Source organism: Homo sapiens, chromosome 19, assembly GCF_000001405.40.
Source record: "Homo sapiens chromosome 19, GRCh38.p14 Primary Assembly".
Taxonomy (NCBI): Eukaryota; Metazoa; Chordata; class Mammalia; order Primates; family Hominidae; genus Homo; species Homo sapiens.
Window position 1 is genome coordinate 748,330 of NC_000019.10, and position 17,409 is coordinate 765,738.

A 17,409-nucleotide genomic window follows, 5' to 3' on the forward strand; every position below is an offset into this window, starting at 1 on the left:
GTTCCTGGAGTTCTTGCCTTTCAACCTGGCGAGGAAGGCGTGGCCAGGCCAGGGGGTGGGGCCTGCCGGCCTTTGAGCCATTAAAGGGAGGCTGAGCAGGGTTGCGGTGTGCTGGCTTCACCTGCCTGCACCCGCTCACCCTGAGCGCCTTGGGGTGGTGGGAGGCGCTGGAATCCCCACTGTGCAGGTAAGGCCTGGCTGTAAGGGGCTGCTGTGGGGGGGCAGGACTGGCTTCCCGGGGGGCCCTCGGGTTCTGCGGCCGCCCCGTCCTGTCCTTTGTTCCTCCCTTTGCTGGGCTCACAGCCCCTGGGTGATGACAGAGGGTCCCCTGGACACCCACAAGCTCTGTAGAGAAGCCGGCCCCTGGGAAATACACAGGAGGCCTGGGGAGGAGGTGTCTGTAGAGACCAGTGTCATGCTCACGGGAAGGTGCTGCCCCGCCAGCCCCACTCTCTCACGCTGTAGTCTTGGAGAAGTCGCTGCCTCCTCTGGGCCTCAGTTTTCCCATCTGTAAAATAAGCCTTCGTGGCCGGGCACGGTGTTTCACACCTGCAATCCTAGTACTTTGGGAGGCCGAGGTGGGCGGATCACAAGGTCAAGAGATCGATACCATCCTGGCCAACATACTGAAACCCTGTCTCTACTAAAAATACAAAAACTTAGCCGGGCGTGGTGGCTCACGCCTGTAATCCTAGCTATTCAGGAGGCTGAGGCAGGAGAATCGCTTGAACCTGGGAGGCGGAGGCTGCAGTGAGCTGAGATCGTGCCACTGCACTCCAACCTGGGCGACAGAGCGAGACTCTGTCTCAAATAAAATAAAATAGGCCTTCGGAGCCCTGAGTGGGAGGCCAGCCTCAGCCTGGGCGTGGGACGTCTCCACAGTGCCCCCAGCTCATGGGCGATCCAGCCTCCACCCTGCTGGGGCCTCAGTTTTCCCCGATGAGGTGGTGAGTGTGGTGGAGAGCACTGCTGAGGGAACTCAGGTTCCAATTCCAGCCTAAACCCCCGCCATTCCTGAGGCGCGATTTTAAGCTTTCCGTACCTCCGTTTCCCTATCTACAAGCCAGGGAGAAAAGGACGTGAAGGGGGTGGCGGGAGGCGGCGGTGGGAGGCGCCGTGAGGCCGCGCACCCTGAGCTTTCACACACCCAGCAGCGTTAGGTGCCACGCTGTCCTTTGGGGGCCCTTTATCCAGATTTGTCCTTAAACACCCCCATCTTGGCCAGGCGCCGTGGCTCGCGCCTGTAATCCCAGCACTTTGGGAGGCTGAGGCGGGGGCATCACCTGAGGTCAGGAGTTCGAGACCAGCCTGGCTAACGTGGCAAAACCCTGTCTCTACTAAAAATACAAAAATAGCTGGGCGTGGTGGCTCATGCCAGTAATCCCAGCTACTAGGGAAGCTGAGGCAGGAGAATTGCTTGAACAGGGGAGGTTGCCGTGAGCCGAGATCGTGCCACTGCACTCCAGCCTGGGTGACAAGAGCGAGACTCCGTCTCAAAAAAAAAACACAAAAAAAGCACCCCCCTCCTGAGCAGCCCTGCTGGATTCGTAGCTGGGGGCCTTTTTACTCGAAGAAGAGACTGAGGTTCAGAGGGGCTCCACAAGCAGCCCCTCTGGCGTAGGTCAGGACAGAGCCCCAGCCTGGGGAACTGAAGTCCCTGCCCCCTCAGCTGTGTTCCCTGCCCTCATAGACGGCGCTAGGCCCAGTGGCCCGACTTCCCCACAGATGCTGGGCTCCCCACAGTCCCAGCAAGGCCTCTGCACCTTGACTAAGAATCCAGGAGGACCATGGGCGCCTGAGGGCCTCTGCGTCCCCATCTCTCGGGGTGGCCTGGGTCTTTTGACGGCCTCGTGCGGTTCTTTTTTTTTTTTTTTTTTTTTTTTTTTTGAGTTGGAGTTTTGCTCTTGTCGCCCAGGCTGGAGTGCAGTGGTGTGATCTCGGCTCACTGCAACCTCCAACTCCTGGGTTCAAGTGATTCTTCTGCCTCAGCCTCCCAAGTAGCTGGGATTATAATAGCGTGCCACCATACCCCGCTAAATTTTGTATTTTTAGTAGAGACGGGGTTTCGCCATGTTGGCCAGGCTGGTCTCGAACTCCTGGCCTCAAGTGATCCGCCCGCCTCGGCCTCCCAAAGTGCTGGGATTACAGGTGTGAGCCACCAAGTCCGGCCCCCTCGTATGGGTTTTTATGTGGATGGGGCCTAGGGAATTCCTCCCAGCAGCCCTGAGGGAGCCCGGGCGTGATGTTCCCCCACGTCCCGGAGGAGAAAACAGGGCTAAGAGAGGTCAGGTGGGATCAGAACCCAGGCCACACCAAACCCCCCCGAGTCTGCCAAACCTGGTTTATGCAAGAAGGGGGCCATCTAGGGGAGTTGCCCCAAGGGGTGGGCTGGGCCAGAAGGCACGGACGGGATTGGGACTCAGCCCCTCCGGCCCCCCAGGAGACACAGGCCACTGTGCACGCTGAGCTGCTGTGTGGCCCTGGACACCTGCTGACCCTCTCTGAGCGGTGCTGAGAGGCGGTGGGAGGGCCAGGCAGCCAAGGGAGGTTTCGGCTGAGTTCTGGCTCCTCGGGGCCACCTGGAGGCCCTGGGGGTGGAGGGGCAGCCGGCAGCGGGCACGGTGCCCGCCCTTGCCCAGCCTGGTATCCTCTTTCTCCCTCCTCCTCCTCTGGACTTTGTTTCCTGATCCCAGGTGGGGCTGGGGGGAGGGGGCACACCTGCCTCCCCTGGGTGGGGCCTCTGTTCCCTGGCAACCTGGCGGGCAGGGCGGAGCTGGGAGGCCTCTGTGCCCATCGAGGAGTCAGAGTGGAGGCTGCAGACTGTGGAGCCGGGAGCCGGCAGGTGAGGCTGGGGGCGCCCCGGGCCGGGCCGGGCGGGGATCCTGTGTGGGGCGGTTGGATCCACATTTGGCGTGGGAGCGTCATGTGTCTGTGGGCGGGGTCTGCTTGCCTGGCGGCACTTGGGATCCAGGGAGGCCCCCTGCCCCACCCCGTCACCCTCGGAGCCTCCCTGAGGCACCTTTCCCTCTGCCCCCGCTAGGTACTCTGGGGCCTCAAGGGCACCCACTGGGAGAGCAGAGAGGCCCTTGTCCCTGAACTCTGCTGGGGCTTTTGAACCCCAAATCCCAGAGCCCTCCAAGGGAGGGGCCGGGTTGGCACCCCCATGGTCAGAGGCCAGAGGGGCCCCTCCATGGTTCTGGGAATTCCAGAGGCTTCTGGAGAGATGCTTATCCGTCCCACCAGGCCCCTGACTGGGAGGCTCTGGGCAGTAAACACCCCCGTGGGGCTGGGGGCTGGTTTGGGGACACGGAGGAGGGGTGGCTGAGTACAGGCGGAAGGAGTCTCAGGCCGGGGCTGGGGACTTGGCCTGGGTCCTCGGGTGGGGGTGAGGTGGTAGCCTGGGATCCCGGGCAGCCAGCAGGGACTCGGCCCAGCGTCTGCCGGTGGAGCTCCGCCCAGGAGCCCAAGGAGCTGAGATGACTCAAGGGTGACTGCAACCCTGAGGGATGGGAAAAAGGAACGGGGCCCTCCCTTCTGCATGGCCTCCTTGTCTGAGTCTCGGCCCCACAAGGGAACCTTTGCCCCTCACATAGAGCCAACTGGCTGATGAGGAAGGAGGTGTGGCACCAGGGTCCATAAACCCAGTTTCATTCTGGTATCAACAGAGTTCAGGGTGAGGCTGGGAGGAGCAACCCAGGGGGCTTCCTGTAGGAGGGGGTGATTTGGAGCAAAGTCTGAAAACTGGCTTCAGACACTTGCTCTGTCATCGCTGTGTGACCTCAGATGAGCAGGTTCTCCTCTCTGGGTCCCAGCTCCCTCTCTCGAAAACCGGAGTCGAAAACGGTTCCAAGGTGTTGCAGGAAGAGTCTCAGGACGCCGAGGTCCTTAGCCACCGCCGGGCCTTGCAGGGGCCATCTTCCGTCCTGGGGCTCTTCCCCCGAGGGCAGCGCCGCTGCCCAAGAATGCCGGCCATGAGAGCCGCCGTGGATCCAGGGGTTTTTTTGGCCGACACAGTGAAACCCCATCTCTACTAAAAATACAAAACTTAGCCGGGCGTGGTGGCGGGCGCCTGTAGTCCCAGCTACTTGGGAGGCTGAGGCAGGAGAATGGTGTGAATCCGGGAGGCAGAGGTTGCAGTGAATGGAGATCGCGCCACTGCACTCCAGCCTGGGCGACAGAGGGAGACTCTATCTCAAAAAAAAAAGCGGGGGGCGGGGGTGGGCACTGAGGCACAGGCAGCAGGGGAGGGGGCCCAGTGGCCTTGAACCCAAGAGCTGGACCCCAGGCCCCACCCGCTGGCTTCAGTGAATCACTGGGGAGGAATGAGCAGAGGAGGATGCGTGCCTTCATCCCCACCCAACCCCGACCCCACTGGGAGACCCGGCACCTGCTCGAGGCTGGGCGGACAGCTCCCTTTCTCCCGGAGTTGACGTCTGATGTGGGTTATAAATCCCGCTGTGTAAACGTCTGTCCACTCACTGGGCAAACATTCCTACACCCGCCCTCCCCGGGGAGCTCCAGGGTGCAGGGCGTGGACCTGCCCAGCCCTTCAGGGCCAGAAGGCACGGTGGAGCCGGTCTGCATTCCGCAATGAGCCCGACCCCCACGTCTGAGCAGCTGGGATGAGTGGTGTTTGCCCAGCCAGTATTTATTAGGCGCCTGCTGTATACCAGACTCTGGGCTGCAGGAAGGGTGCTGACCTGTGGCCACAGCAGGCGAGAGCGAGGCCTGGGCTGACGGTTTCGGGTGGGAGAAGGCAAGGCCTTCCGTGAGCTGGGCAGGCGGCGTCCACGGAGGAGGAGGCCTCGGGTCAGGGGAGCCATCTGTGCGTCACGCTTTGGGAGGAAGCTCAGCTGTTTGTGTGGGATTTATTCACCAATGCCGCCTGGTTTTCAATGTTTCCCCTATTTTAGTTTCTGACATTTGATACGCGCGGAAGATTGCATGACACATTGCGTGTAGTTTCAACACGGCTCCCCACGGTCTCTCCACTTTATGCTGTTTGATGCCACTTTCCAGTTCAGAGAGGGGCTAAGTTTTTCTTTTTTTTTCTTTTTTTCTTTTTTTTTTTTTTTGAGGCGGAGTCTAGCTCTGTCACCAGGCTGGAGTGCAATGGTGCGATCTCAGCTCCCTGCAAGCTCCACCTCCCGGGTTCACAGCATTCTCCTGCCTCAGCCTCCTGAGTAGCTGGGACTACAGGCGCCCGCCAGCACACCCGGTTAATTTTTTTTGTATTTTTAGTAGAGATGGGGTTTCACCATTTTAGCCAGGATGGTCTCGATCTCCTGACCTCGTGATCCGCCAAAGTGCTGGGATTACAGGTGTGAGCCACTGTGCCTGGCCGACCCTGTCTGTTTAAAAACAAAAAAAAATGCTGCTGGTTGGTGTAAAGGCAGCAGATCTAAATAATAGCCTTGGTGGCCCGGGAGCGACAGTCCTGCTTTGTGGGGGTTTGTTTTTCTTTTGAGACAGGGTCTTTCTCTGTCACCCAGGCTGGAGTGCAATGGCACAATCTCAGCTCACCGCAACCTCCACCTCACAGGTTCAAGTGATTCTCCCACCTCAGCCTCCCAAGTAGCTGGGATTACAGGCCTGAGCCCCTGTGCCCAGCCGACAGTGCTTTTTTTAGGAGTCAGGAGCTCAAGCTTTTGAGATCCCTGTGTCTTCAGGTGAGGCTTCCTTTCCTCAACTATGAAAGATGATGTCTGCTGGACACGGTGGCTCACGCCTGTAATCCCTGCACTTTGGGAGGCCGAGGCAGGCGGATCACCTGAAGTCAGGAGTTCAAGACCAGCCTGGCCAACATGGTGAAACCCGTCTCTACTAACAATACAAAAATTAGCCGGGTGTCCTGGCTGGGCGCGGTGGCTCACGCCTGTAATCCCAACACTTTGGGAGGCCGAGGCGGGAGGATCACGAGGTCAGGAGATCAAGACCATCCTGGCTAATATGGTGAAACCCCGTCTCTACTAAAAATACAAAAAATTAGCCAGGCGTGGTGGCGGGCGCCCGTAGTCCCAGCTCTAGGGAGGCTGAGGCAGGAGAATGGCGTGAACCTGGGAGGCAGAGCTTGCAGGGAGCCGAGATCGCGCCACTGCACTCCAGCCTGGGCGACAGAGTGAGACTCCGCCTCAAAAAAAAGAAAAAATTAGCCGGGTGTGGGGGCGGGTGCCCGTAGTCCCAGCTACTCAGGAGGCTGAGGCAGGAGAATTGCTTGAACCCGGGAGGTGGAGATTGCAGTGAGCTGAGATCACGCTACCGCAGTCCAGCCTGTGCATCGCAGCGAGACTCTGTCTCAAAACAAAAGACAATACCTAAGACGGGTGCTGGGTACAAGGCCTGACATGAAGGAGGTGTTCAGATGATGGCTCTGGGGGAGGGGCAATCTGGGTTACTTCCTGGAGGAGGTGTCCATGGGCTTCAGCAGAGGAAGCCGTGGAGAAGCAGAAACAGGCAGCCTCGAGACAGAGAGAGCTGCAGGTAGAGGAGGAGGGCGAGGTTTGGGGTGGAGGAAGAGGGCCTGGTTTGGGGTGGAAGAGGAGGGTCTGGTTTGGGTTGGAGGAAGAGGGCCTGGTTTGGGTGGAAGAGGAGGGTCTGGTTTGGGTGGAAGAGGAGGGTCTGGTTTGGGGTGGAAGAGGAGGGCCTGGCTTGGGGTGGAGGAAGAGGGCCTGGTTTGGGGTGGAAGAGGAGGGCCTGGTTTGGGGTGGAAGAGGAGGGTCTGGTTTGGGGTAGAAGAGGAGGGCCTGGCTTGGGGTGGAGGTGCCCACAGAAATTGGGGTTTCGTGCTAAGGCCAGGAGCAGGGTGTGAGAACTGTGCCCTGCAGATGCCAGGAGCCACAGAAGCGATGCGAGCAGGTGTGTGACCTCCGGGAAGGCTCCTGGAACTGAGCCCAGCAGCAACCTGGACCCTTGGGAGAGGGCGAGAGCCGGAAGGCACTGGGTCAGGGTGTCACCCGCTCGCTCCACGGCCCCACCTGGGCCCAGCGGGACAAGGTCCACGGTGTTCCTTTGCCCATCCTGGCTTTATGGCGACAAGGCCCAGGCGGGGATGTTGTCTCAGATGGGACGAGGTGTCCAGCTGGGCAGGGCAGGGTGGAGAACCAGGATGTGGGAGCCGGGAAACTGGAGTTGCTGTCAGTCCTTCTCTCTGGGCCTCAGTTTCTCCATTTGACATCCCTTAGCAAGGGGCCATCTGTAATTGTCAGATGGAAAAATCCCACACCAGGAGTCTCAGAGTGAGCTCAGGGTGGAAAGGCTCAGTGCACAGGAGACACAGATAAATATGGTGCGGCCAAGGAAGGCTTCAGAGATCAAGGCTGAGGCCAGGCGCGGTGGCTCACGCCTGTAATTCCAGCACTTTGGGAGGCCGAGGCGGGCAGATCACCTGAGCTCAGGAGTTCGAGACCAACCTGGCCAACATGGTGAGACCTCGTCTCTACTAAAAATACAAAAAATTAGCCGGACTTGGGAGGTTAGCGCCTGTAATCCCAGCTACTCAGGAGGCTGAGGCACGAGAATTGCTTGAACCTGGAAGCAGAGGTTGCAGTGAGCTGACATTGTGCCACTGCACTCCAGGCTGGGCAACAGAGCGAGACTCCATCTCAAAAAAAAAAAAATCAAGGCTGAGCTGGACTCCACAGGGCAGGTGTGTGTGTCTGGGAGATAAGGTGGGCAGGGCACCCTGATTTTATTGGGCTGCAAATGTTAGAAACATATAATGCGAGTTGTTGGGGTAGTAACCGGGACATTCAGAGATTCAGGTATGGTTGGAATCAGGGAGCTTAAAAGTTTTCAGGATGCTTTGCTGGTGTTGGGGTTGCTGTCAAGCAAGCTGTACCCACTGGGGGCATTTACGTCCCCAGCAATTCACTATCTCATTCCATCAGCCTAACAAGACCAGCGGGAAGAGGGTCCCATCTTCTGCATTAATTGTAAAGTCCCAGGGTCTCATGTCATTGGCTAGACTGGGTCACATGCTCATCTCTGAACCAATTACAGAGGCCAGAGGGTGAAATGCTCTCACTGGCTGGACTAGGTCACTTACCCATCTTTGAACCAATCACAGAGGCCAGTGGGTGGGATGCTCTGATTGATCAGGATGAGTCACTTACCCATCCCTGAACCAATCACAGAGGCCAGAGAATGGGCTACTCTGACTGGCCAGGCTGGGCCATTTACTCATCCTTGAACCAATCACAGAGGCCAGAAGGTGGGATGCTCTGATTGGCCAGGCTGAGTTACTTACCTATCCCTTAGCCAATCACAGAGATTAGACAATGGGCTGCTCTGAGTGGCTGTACTGTGTCACGCACCCCTAAACCAATCACAGAGGTTAGAGAATGGGATGCACTGATTGGCTGGACTGTCACTTACGCACCCCTAAACCAATCACAGAGGTTAGAGAATGGGCTGCTCTGAGTGGCTGGACTGTGTCACTTACCCATCCCTAAACCAATCACAAAGGCCATTTGATGGACCCTTTGCCCTTTGGGGGACTGGAGGCTGTTCCTCTCCCTAGGTGCTCTGACTTGATGGCCCTCATTTCCTTCTCCTCCCTCAGTAAGCCCAGAGGTCTCCACCCCACGGGAGGAAGGCTGAGGCCAAGACCCCGGAAGAGATGGACCGCGTGACCAGATACCCCATCCTGGGCATCCCTCAGGCACACCGTGGCACCGGCCTGGTGCTGGATGGAGACACCAGCTACACATACCATCTGGTGTGCATGGGCCCCGAGGCCAGCGGCTGGGGCCAGGATGAGCCGCAGACATGGCCCACTGACCACAGGGCCCAGCAGGGCGTGCAGAGGCAGGGGGTGTCCTACAGCGTGCATGCCTACACTGGCCAGCCGTCCCCACGGGGGCTCCACTCGGAGAACAGGGAGGATGAGGGTTGGCAGGTTTACCGCCTGGGCGCCAGGGATGCCCACCAGGGACGTCCAACATGGGCACTCCGCCCAGAGGACGGGGAGGACAAGGAGATGAAGACCTACCGCCTGGATGCTGGGGACGCTGACCCCAGGAGGCTGTGTGACCTGGAGCGGGAGCGCTGGGCCGTCATCCAGGGCCAGGCAGTCAGGAAGAGCAGCACCGTGGCCACGCTCCAGGGCACTCCTGACCACGGAGACCCCAGGACCCCCGGCCCACCTCGGTCCACGCCCCTGGAGGAGAACGTGGTTGACAGGGAGCAGATTGACTTCCTGGCAGCGAGACAGCAGTTCCTGAGTCTGGAGCAGGCGAACAAGGGGGCCCCTCATAGCTCCCCGGCCAGGGGGACCCCTGCAGGCACAACCCCAGGGGCCAGCCAGGCCCCCAAGGCCTTCAACAAGCCCCACCTGGCCAACGGGCACGTGGTTCCCATCAAGCCCCAGGTGAAGGGGGTGGTCAGGGAAGAGAACAAGGTGCGTGCTGTGCCCACCTGGGCCAGTGTCCAAGTTGTGGATGACCCTGGCTCCTTGGCCTCAGTGGAGTCCCCGGGGACCCCCAAGGAGACGCCCATCGAGCGGGAGATCCGTCTGGCTCAGGAGCGTGAGGCAGACCTGCGAGAGCAGAGGGGGCTTCGGCAGGCAACCGACCACCAGGAGCTGGTGGAAATCCCCACCAGGCCGCTGCTGACCAAGCTGAGCCTGATCACAGCCCCACGGCGGGAGAGAGGGCGCCCGTCCCTCTACGTGCAGCGGGACATAGTACAGGAGACACAGCGTGAGGAAGACCACCGGCGGGAGGGCCTGCACGTGGGCCGGGCGTCCACACCCGACTGGGTCTCGGAGGGTCCCCAGCCCGGACTCCGGAGAGCCCTCAGCTCAGATTCCATCCTCAGCCCGGCCCCAGATGCCCGTGCGGCCGACCCAGCTCCAGAAGTGAGGAAGGTGAACCGCATCCCACCTGATGCCTACCAGCCGTACCTGAGCCCCGGGACCCCCCAGCTAGAATTCTCAGCCTTCGGAGCATTCGGCAAGCCCAGCAGTCTCTCCACAGCGGAGGCCAAGGCTGCGACTTCACCAAAGGCCACGATGTCCCCGAGGCATCTCTCAGAATCCTCTGGAAAACCCCTGAGCACAAAGCAAGAGGCATCGAAGCCCCCTCGGGGATGCCCGCAAGCCAACAGGGGTGTCGTGCGGTGGGAGTACTTCCGCCTGCGTCCTCTGCGGTTCAGGGCCCCAGACGAGCCCCAGCAGGCCCAAGTCCCCCATGTCTGGGGCTGGGAGGTGGCTGGGGCCCCTGCACTGAGGCTGCAGAAGTCCCAGTCATCTGATCTGCTGGAAAGGGAGAGGGAGAGTGTCCTGCGCCGGGAGCAAGAGGTGGCAGAGGAGCGGAGAAATGCTCTCTTCCCAGAGGTCTTCTCCCCAACGCCAGATGAGAACTCTGACCAGAACTCCAGGAGCTCCTCCCAGGCATCCGGTGAGAAGGGGCTCCAGGGAGTGGCTGCTTGGCTCAGGGTCTCAGAGGTTGGAGCAGGGGAGGGTGGGGAGGTGGAGTTTGAGGCTGTCAAAGGGCTGGGGTTGGGGAGACATTGCCTCCTGACTGTTCATCCCCTCAGTCGCTGGTTTGTCTGCCTGTCTATTAAAAATGTAGATTTTGGAGAGAAATGTCAACTTTACCTTAGGGCTTTTGCTTTATGGATTTGGATGCCTTGTTGTTAGGCGCATAAATGTTCATATATGTTTTGTGTGTTTTGTTTTTGTTTTTGTTTTTTGTTTTTCGGTTTTCTTTTTTGAGACGGAGTCTCGCTCTGTCGCCCAGGCTGGAGTGCAGTGGCAGGATCTCAACTCACTGTAACCTCCACCTCCTGGGTTCAAGCGATTCTCCTGCCTCAGCCTCCTGAGTAGCTGGGATTACAGGTGCCCACCACCACTCCCGGCTAATTTTTGTATTTTTAGTAGAGACAGGTTTCATCATGTTGGCCAGGCTGGTCTTGAACTCCTGACCTCAGGCGATCCACCCTGCCTTGGCCTCCCAAAGTGCTGGGATTACAAGCATGAGCCACTGCTCCCGGCCTGTTCATATATGTTTATCCTCTTGGACAGTTGCACCTTTTTGACAATATGAAATATTCCTTGTGTCACTTTTAATGTTTTTTTTTTTTTTTTTTGAGATGGAGTCTCGCTCTGTCACCCAGGCTGGAGTGCAGTGGCGCGATCTCGGCTCACTGCAAGCTCCGCCTCCCGGGTTCACGCCATTCTCTCGCCTCAGCCTCCTGAGTAGCTGGGACTACAGGCGCCTGCCTCCACGCCTGGCTAATTTTTTTGTATTTTTAGTAGAGATGGGGTTTCACCGTGTTAGCCAGGACGGTCTCGATCTCCTGACCTCGTGATCCACCCACCTCGGCCTCCCAAAGTGCTGGGATTACAGGCGTGAGCCACCGCGCCCGGCCACTTTTAATGTTCTTCACCTTGCATGTCGGCCCATCTGTGCATCCAGTTTCTCCTGACTGGCTACTTTGGTCAATCTGTCAGTTTCCCGGATAGTCATCTGCTCTGTCTGTCCATACATCTGTCTCCTTAGCTGCTGGCTAGAGACTCTGTCTCCCGAGCAGAGGTCTGACAAATGTTCTAATGTTCTGCCCTCCCTGCTCCCCTACAGGCATCACGGGCAGTTACTCGGTGTCTGAGTCTCCCTTCTTCAGCCCCATCCACCTACACTCAAACGTGGCGTGGACAGTGGAAGATCCAGTGGACAGTGCTCCTCCCGGGCAGAGAAAGAAGGAGCAATGGGTGAGTCTGGAACCCGTCTCTGCAGAGGCCAGGCTGAGGTCAGACAGCCCCTATTAGGGCCACAGGAAGTTCAAGCAGGACTCAAGCCTGACCTGGGTTCAAGCACTACCCCCACCCCTGGCCGTGCCTCAGTCTCCTGCAGATGTCAGGTAGAAGATGATAAACTTGGTGTCCTTGTATCTCTGGGCTTCTGCTTGGAGAGGCCATATAAGCTGGGGTCTTTGTCCCCATCAGGAGGTCATCTCCAGGATCAAAGACCAAAGGACCAACTCTGCTTGGAGGAGGAGGACACTGGCAATTTGTCATCGTCACCAGCATTAGTTTCTTTTTTTTTTTTTTTTTTTGAGACGGAGTCTCACTCTGTCGCCCAGGCTGGAGTGCAGTAGCACGATCTCGGCTCACTGCAACCTCCACCTCCCGGGTTGAAGTGATTCTCCTGCCTCAGCCTCCTGAGTAGCTGGGATTACAGGCGTGCACCACCACGCCCGGCTAATTTTTTTGTATTTTTAGTAGAGACGTGGTTTCACCATGTTAGCCAGGCTGGTCTCAAACCGATCTCAAGTGACCTGCCCACTTGGGCCTCCCAAAGTGCTGGGATTATAGGCATGAGCCACTGCACCTGGCCACAGATATTTACTTCTAAGAAAGAGAGAGAGAGAGAGAGAAGGCAGGAGGGAGGGAGGGATGGAGGGAAGGAAGGAACAAAGCGAGGAAGGAAGGGAGGGAGGGAGAGGGAGAGACGGAGGGATGTGTCTGTCACACGCTGGCTCGGGGCTTCCAATGAACCACACCTTTAGCACCCTGGTGGTCTCACATGCCCAGGGTTAGGCAGCTCATGAACCCAGGCTTGACTCCAGGACCTACAGGCCACAGAGCTTTGCCTTAGGGGTTTTACTTTATGAATTTTGATGCCTTGTTGTTAGACATGTAATTGTTCATGTATGTTTATCCTCTTGGATGAGAGCTCCTTTTGTCAGTATGAAATATTCCTCACGTCACTTTTAATGACACGAGGAATATTTAGTGCCATGAGGAATATTATGTCCTTTTTTTTTTTTTTTTTTTTTTGAGATGGAGTCTCGCTCTGTCACCCAGGCTGGAGTGCAGTGGCACGATCTTGGCTCACTGCAACCTCTGCCTCCCGGGTTCAAGCGATTCTCCTGCCTCGGCCTCCCGTGTAGCTGGAATTACAGGTACGTGCCACCACTCCTGGCTAAAGGGAGGCTGCTAGGGAGGCTCCATCCGGGAGGTGGAGGTTGCAGTGAGCCGAGATCGCACCACCGCACTCCAGCCTGGGTGATAGAGCAAGACTCAGACCCAATATAAATAAATAAATTAATTAATTAAATTAAATAAATCATGAATGTTGGACAGAGGCTGCACTGAGGGGAACAGCATGAGGAACAGCAAGGGGGATGGCTGTGAGTCTGGGTGATCGTGGGACACGTGTTGAGAACACTCAGGGCAGGGGATGCCTTCCACTCTTCCCCAAATGGTGACAGAGAGGGCTGTGTGGGAGCTCTGGTCGGACTCTGCACCGGGCAGGGCAGAAAGGCCTGGGCTGACTTGTGTTCCTTTCCTGTAGTACGCTGGCATCAACCCCTCGGACGGTATCAACTCAGAGGTGAGTATGCTCCTGGGCACGAAGACTCAAGTCTTTCCCCCCCACATCTGTGCCCCTGCACACAGGGGCCAACGGAAGCCCCTTCCTCCAGGTGTGGGGATCGTATTGGGTGTCTTCTCAATTGGTAGTGTCTGCTCAGGGTGGATTTTGCTGTGATCTGCTTGTGATGTCTGCCATGGGCATGGATTAGGAGAAGAGGGTTCACATGCCACCTCTCCACCACGTGGTGAAGGTTTGTGAGGTTAGACCCCAAACAAAGGCAATGTTGCTTTTTTTTTGTTTTTGTTTTTGTTTTTGTTTTTGAGACAGAGTCTCGCTCTGTCGCCCAGGCTGGAGTGCAGTGGTGCGATCTCGGCTCACTGCAAGCTCCGCCTCCCGGGTTCACGCCATTCTCCTGCCTCAGCCTCCCGAGTAGCTGGGACTACAGGCGCCCACCACCACGCCCGGCTATTTTTTTTTTTTGTATTTTTAGTAGAGACGGGGTTTCACCGTGTTAGCCAGGATGGTCTCGATCTCCTGACCTCGTGATCCACCCGCCTCGGCCTCCCAAAGTGCTGGGATTACAGGCGCGAGCCACCGCGCCCGGCCAAGGCAATGTTTTTTTGGGAGGATGGAGTCTCGCTCTGTTGCCCAGGCTGGAGTGGAGTGGCTTGACCTCGGCTCACTGCAACTTCCGCCTTTCAGGTTCAAGCGATTCTCCTGCCTCAGCCTCCCAAGTTGCTGGGATTACAGGCACCCACCACCATGCCCAGCTAATTTTTGTATTTTTAGCAGAGATGGGGTTTCACCATGTTGGCCAGGATGGTCTCGAACTCCTGACCTCAGGTAATCCTCCCGCCTCCACCTCCCAAAGTGCTGGGATTACAGGTGTGAGCCACCGCACCCAGCCAAAGGCACTTTCTTTGAGGAAGGTATGCATCTGAGACTATTCAAGCCAAGCCCCCTCAGTCGGTTTATGGCACACGTGTGTGGCCCTCCTTTTTATTTTTATTTTTTTTTATTTTTACTTTTTTGAGACAGGCTCTCACTCTGTCACCCAGGCTGGAGTGCTATGATGTGGTCCCAGCTCACTGCAACCTTGACCTCCTGGGCTCAAGCAATCCTCCCACCTCAGCCTCCCAAGTAGGAACATAGGAATGTGCCACTGCACCCAGATAGTTTATTTTTATTTATTTATTTATTTATTTTTGTACAGGCAGAGTCTCACTAGGTTGCCCAGGCTGGTCTCGAATTCCTGCATTCAAGGGATCCTCCCACCTCAGCACACCAAATTTCTGGGATTATAGGCATGAGCCACTATCGCCTGACCCCTCTTTGAGCTGAATCCGAAATGCCAAATACATTGGACAGGCACGGTGGCTCACGCCTGTAATCTCAGCACTTTGGGAGGCCGAGGCGGGAGGATCATGAGGTCAGGAGATCGAGACCATGGTGAAACCCCATCTCTACTAAAAATACAAAAAATTAGCCAGGCGCCGTAGCGGGCCTCTGTAGTCCCAGCTACTCAGGAGGCTGAGGCAGGAGAATGGTGTGAACCTGGGAGGCAGAGCTTGCAGTGAGCCAAGATCGCGCCACTGCAGTCCAGCCTGGGCAACAAAGTGAGACTCCATCTCAAAAACAAACAAAAAAGCCAAATACAGACATTTTTCCTGCCCTGGAGCTCAGCATGAGTTAGCATATTCTTTGATCATATTACTAGGAGTAGAGGGTCTGAAACAGAGGAGGGGATCCTACTTTACCCCCGTTCTAGGCCTCTCTAATGAATTGGCAGTTGGAGGAGACATCTTGGGGGTGTGGTAGGACCTGGATCGGGGGAATTCATGCCTCCTTTTTGCAGGTCCTGGAAGCCATACGGGTGACCCGTCACAAGAACGCCATGGCAGAGCGCTGGGAATCCCGCATCTACGCCAGTGAGGAGGATGACTGAGCCTCGGGATGGGGCGCCCACCCCCTGCCCTGCCCTGACCCTCGTGGGAACTGCCAAGACCATCGCCAAGCCCCCACCCTAGGAAATGGGTCCTAGGTCCAGGATCCAAGAACCACAGCTCATCTGCCAACAATCCCACCATGGGCACATTTGGGACTGTTGGGTTTTTCGTTTCCGTTTCTATCTTCCTTTAGAAATGTTTCTGCCTTTGGGGTCTAAAGCTTTTGGGGATGAAATGGGACCCCTGCTGATTCTTTCTGCTTCTAAGACTTTGCCAAATGCCCTGGGTCTAAGAAAGAAAGAGACCCGCTCCTCCACTTTCAGGTGTAATTTGCTTCCGCTAGTCTGAGGGCAGAGGGACCGGTCAAAGAGGGTGGCACAGATCGCAGCACCTTGAGGGGCTGCGGGTCTGAGGGAGGAGACACTCAGCTCCTCCCTCTGAGAAGTCCCAAGCTGAGAGGGGAGACCTGCCCCTTTCCAACCCTGGGAAACCATCCAGTCTGAGGGAGGAGGCCAAACTCCCAGTGCTGGGGGTCCCTGTGCAGCCCTCAAACCCTTCACCTTGGTGCACCCAGCCACACCTGGTGGACACAAAGCTCTCACATCGATAGGATCCCATGAGGATGGTCCCCTTCACCTGGGAGAAAAGTGACCCAGTTTAGGAGCTGGAGGGGGGTCTTTGTCCCCCACCCCCAAACTGCCCTGAAATAAACCTGGAGTGAGCTGCCTGCCTTGGTCCCTGCCTGGTCCGGACAAAGTCCCCTGGGCCTCCACTCTCTGTTTCATTTTCTTGGCGACATTAGGTTCCACCCCGCTAGGCCGTGAGCCTGTGGGGCTGTCAGGTTCCCATGGGGGGGTTGCCAGCATCTGCATGCAGTAGGTGCTTAGCTGATGCTTGTTGAGTGACTGACAATTGATCATGGAGAGGCACCTTCAGCAACACCAGGCCCGGGGCCCAACCTCACCAGCCCGGCTCCTCCAGCCCCGTCTCACCACGTCCATCGCAGTACCCAGGGTGCTTATTAAGCATTTGCTGAATCCCTCACCACTCTGGTCTCAGAGGAGGCCGGAGGGTCATTAATTCGGCTCCGCATGTATACCAGGCTCACATCCAGGGAAGCCAGATCCTACTGGTCAGAGGCGTGGGCGCTGGACCCAAGTCCTGGCTCTGCTGCCTGCTGTGTGGCCTTGGGTGGGGGGGGGTCCTCTCACTGCCCCATGCCTCAGTTTCCCTCTGACACACAGGGATAACGATAGGACCAGGCTCCCGGGCAGTAGGAGTTAATTTACGTAAAGCTCTCGGCACATGGGGACCATTGACGTTGGATTCAGTGCCTGATGGCAGGGGCGTGTCCTCAGACACCCCCCAAAGCAGGCCTCGGCCCCCAGGCTCCCCCAACCCTGCTGGGAGCAGCGGGTGTTAATTACACCTAGGCCAGTGTCTCCTCCTTGGCTGCTCAGTGTCCGCTGCGCTGCCTCAGGGAAAACCGCGCAGCCACGCCGGGCCCAGGCAGGCAGATGTGGAACCGAAATAGCTGGGCAGTGGGGGCTGTGGGGACCCTGGGGAGGCGGGGGAAGGGGGCTGAGGGGCTACATCTGGGCAGAGCAGAGACTGAGGGAGGAGGGAGAGCCCCTGTCTTCAGGGAGACCCCAGTCTGATGGAGGAGGCATCTGCCTTCACAGAGATCCCAGGCTGATGGAGGAGGCCCCTGCCCCCAGGGAGACCCCAGTCTGACGGAGGAGGCATCTACCCACAGAGGGGCCACAGTCTGACGGAGGAGGCCTCTGCCCTCAGGGAGACCCTATCTGATGGAGGAGGCATCTGCCCTCGGGGGACCCCAGTCTGATGGAGGAGGCAGGTTATGTGACCATAGAGGGAGGCTCAGTGGCCATAGTTGGTGACTTCTTTCATGTCGGGGCAATTCTATTCCAACCCCAAGAACCAAACGTGGGGCCTGCGGGAAGGGAGGGCCTCACACACAGTCCTGGGTGAGTCCCATCAGTTTCTCCACTGTCTGCCACCCCATCTTCCCCCGATGCCCCATGTTCTGTCCCTCTGTCCCTGTGCTCTGAGGATGTGTGAGCCTCCACTGGCTACTATAACAAATCACCACCCACCTAATGACTTAAAACAGCAGACATGGTTGG

The 17,409-nt window shown here is 57.6% G+C and overlaps 1 protein-coding gene across 4 annotated transcripts; it reads left to right on the forward strand.

The window, feature by feature from the left end:
• The first annotated feature begins 108 nt into the window (after positions 1-108).
• On the forward strand, positions 109-15,989 carry MISP (mitotic spindle positioning). Of its 4 annotated transcripts, none has more exons than XM_011527685.3 (5): positions 109-187; positions 8,561-10,397; positions 11,580-11,710; positions 13,296-13,334; positions 15,172-15,989. In XM_011527685.3, the coding sequence occupies exons 2-5, from the start codon at positions 8,618-8,620 to the stop codon at positions 15,259-15,261; spliced, it is 2,040 nt and encodes a 679-aa protein (XP_011525987.1). In that variant the 5' UTR covers positions 109-187; positions 8,561-8,617; the 3' UTR covers positions 15,262-15,989. The 4 variants fall into 4 exon arrangements, 3 of the variants coding, with proteins under 3 accessions (XP_011525987.1, NP_775752.1, XP_011525988.1); NM_173481.4 differs by lacking the exon at positions 109-187 and adding an exon at positions 2,783-2,842; XM_011527686.3 differs by lacking the exon at positions 109-187 and adding an exon at positions 6,118-6,480.
• Positions 15,990-17,409: the final 1,420 nt, after the last annotated feature.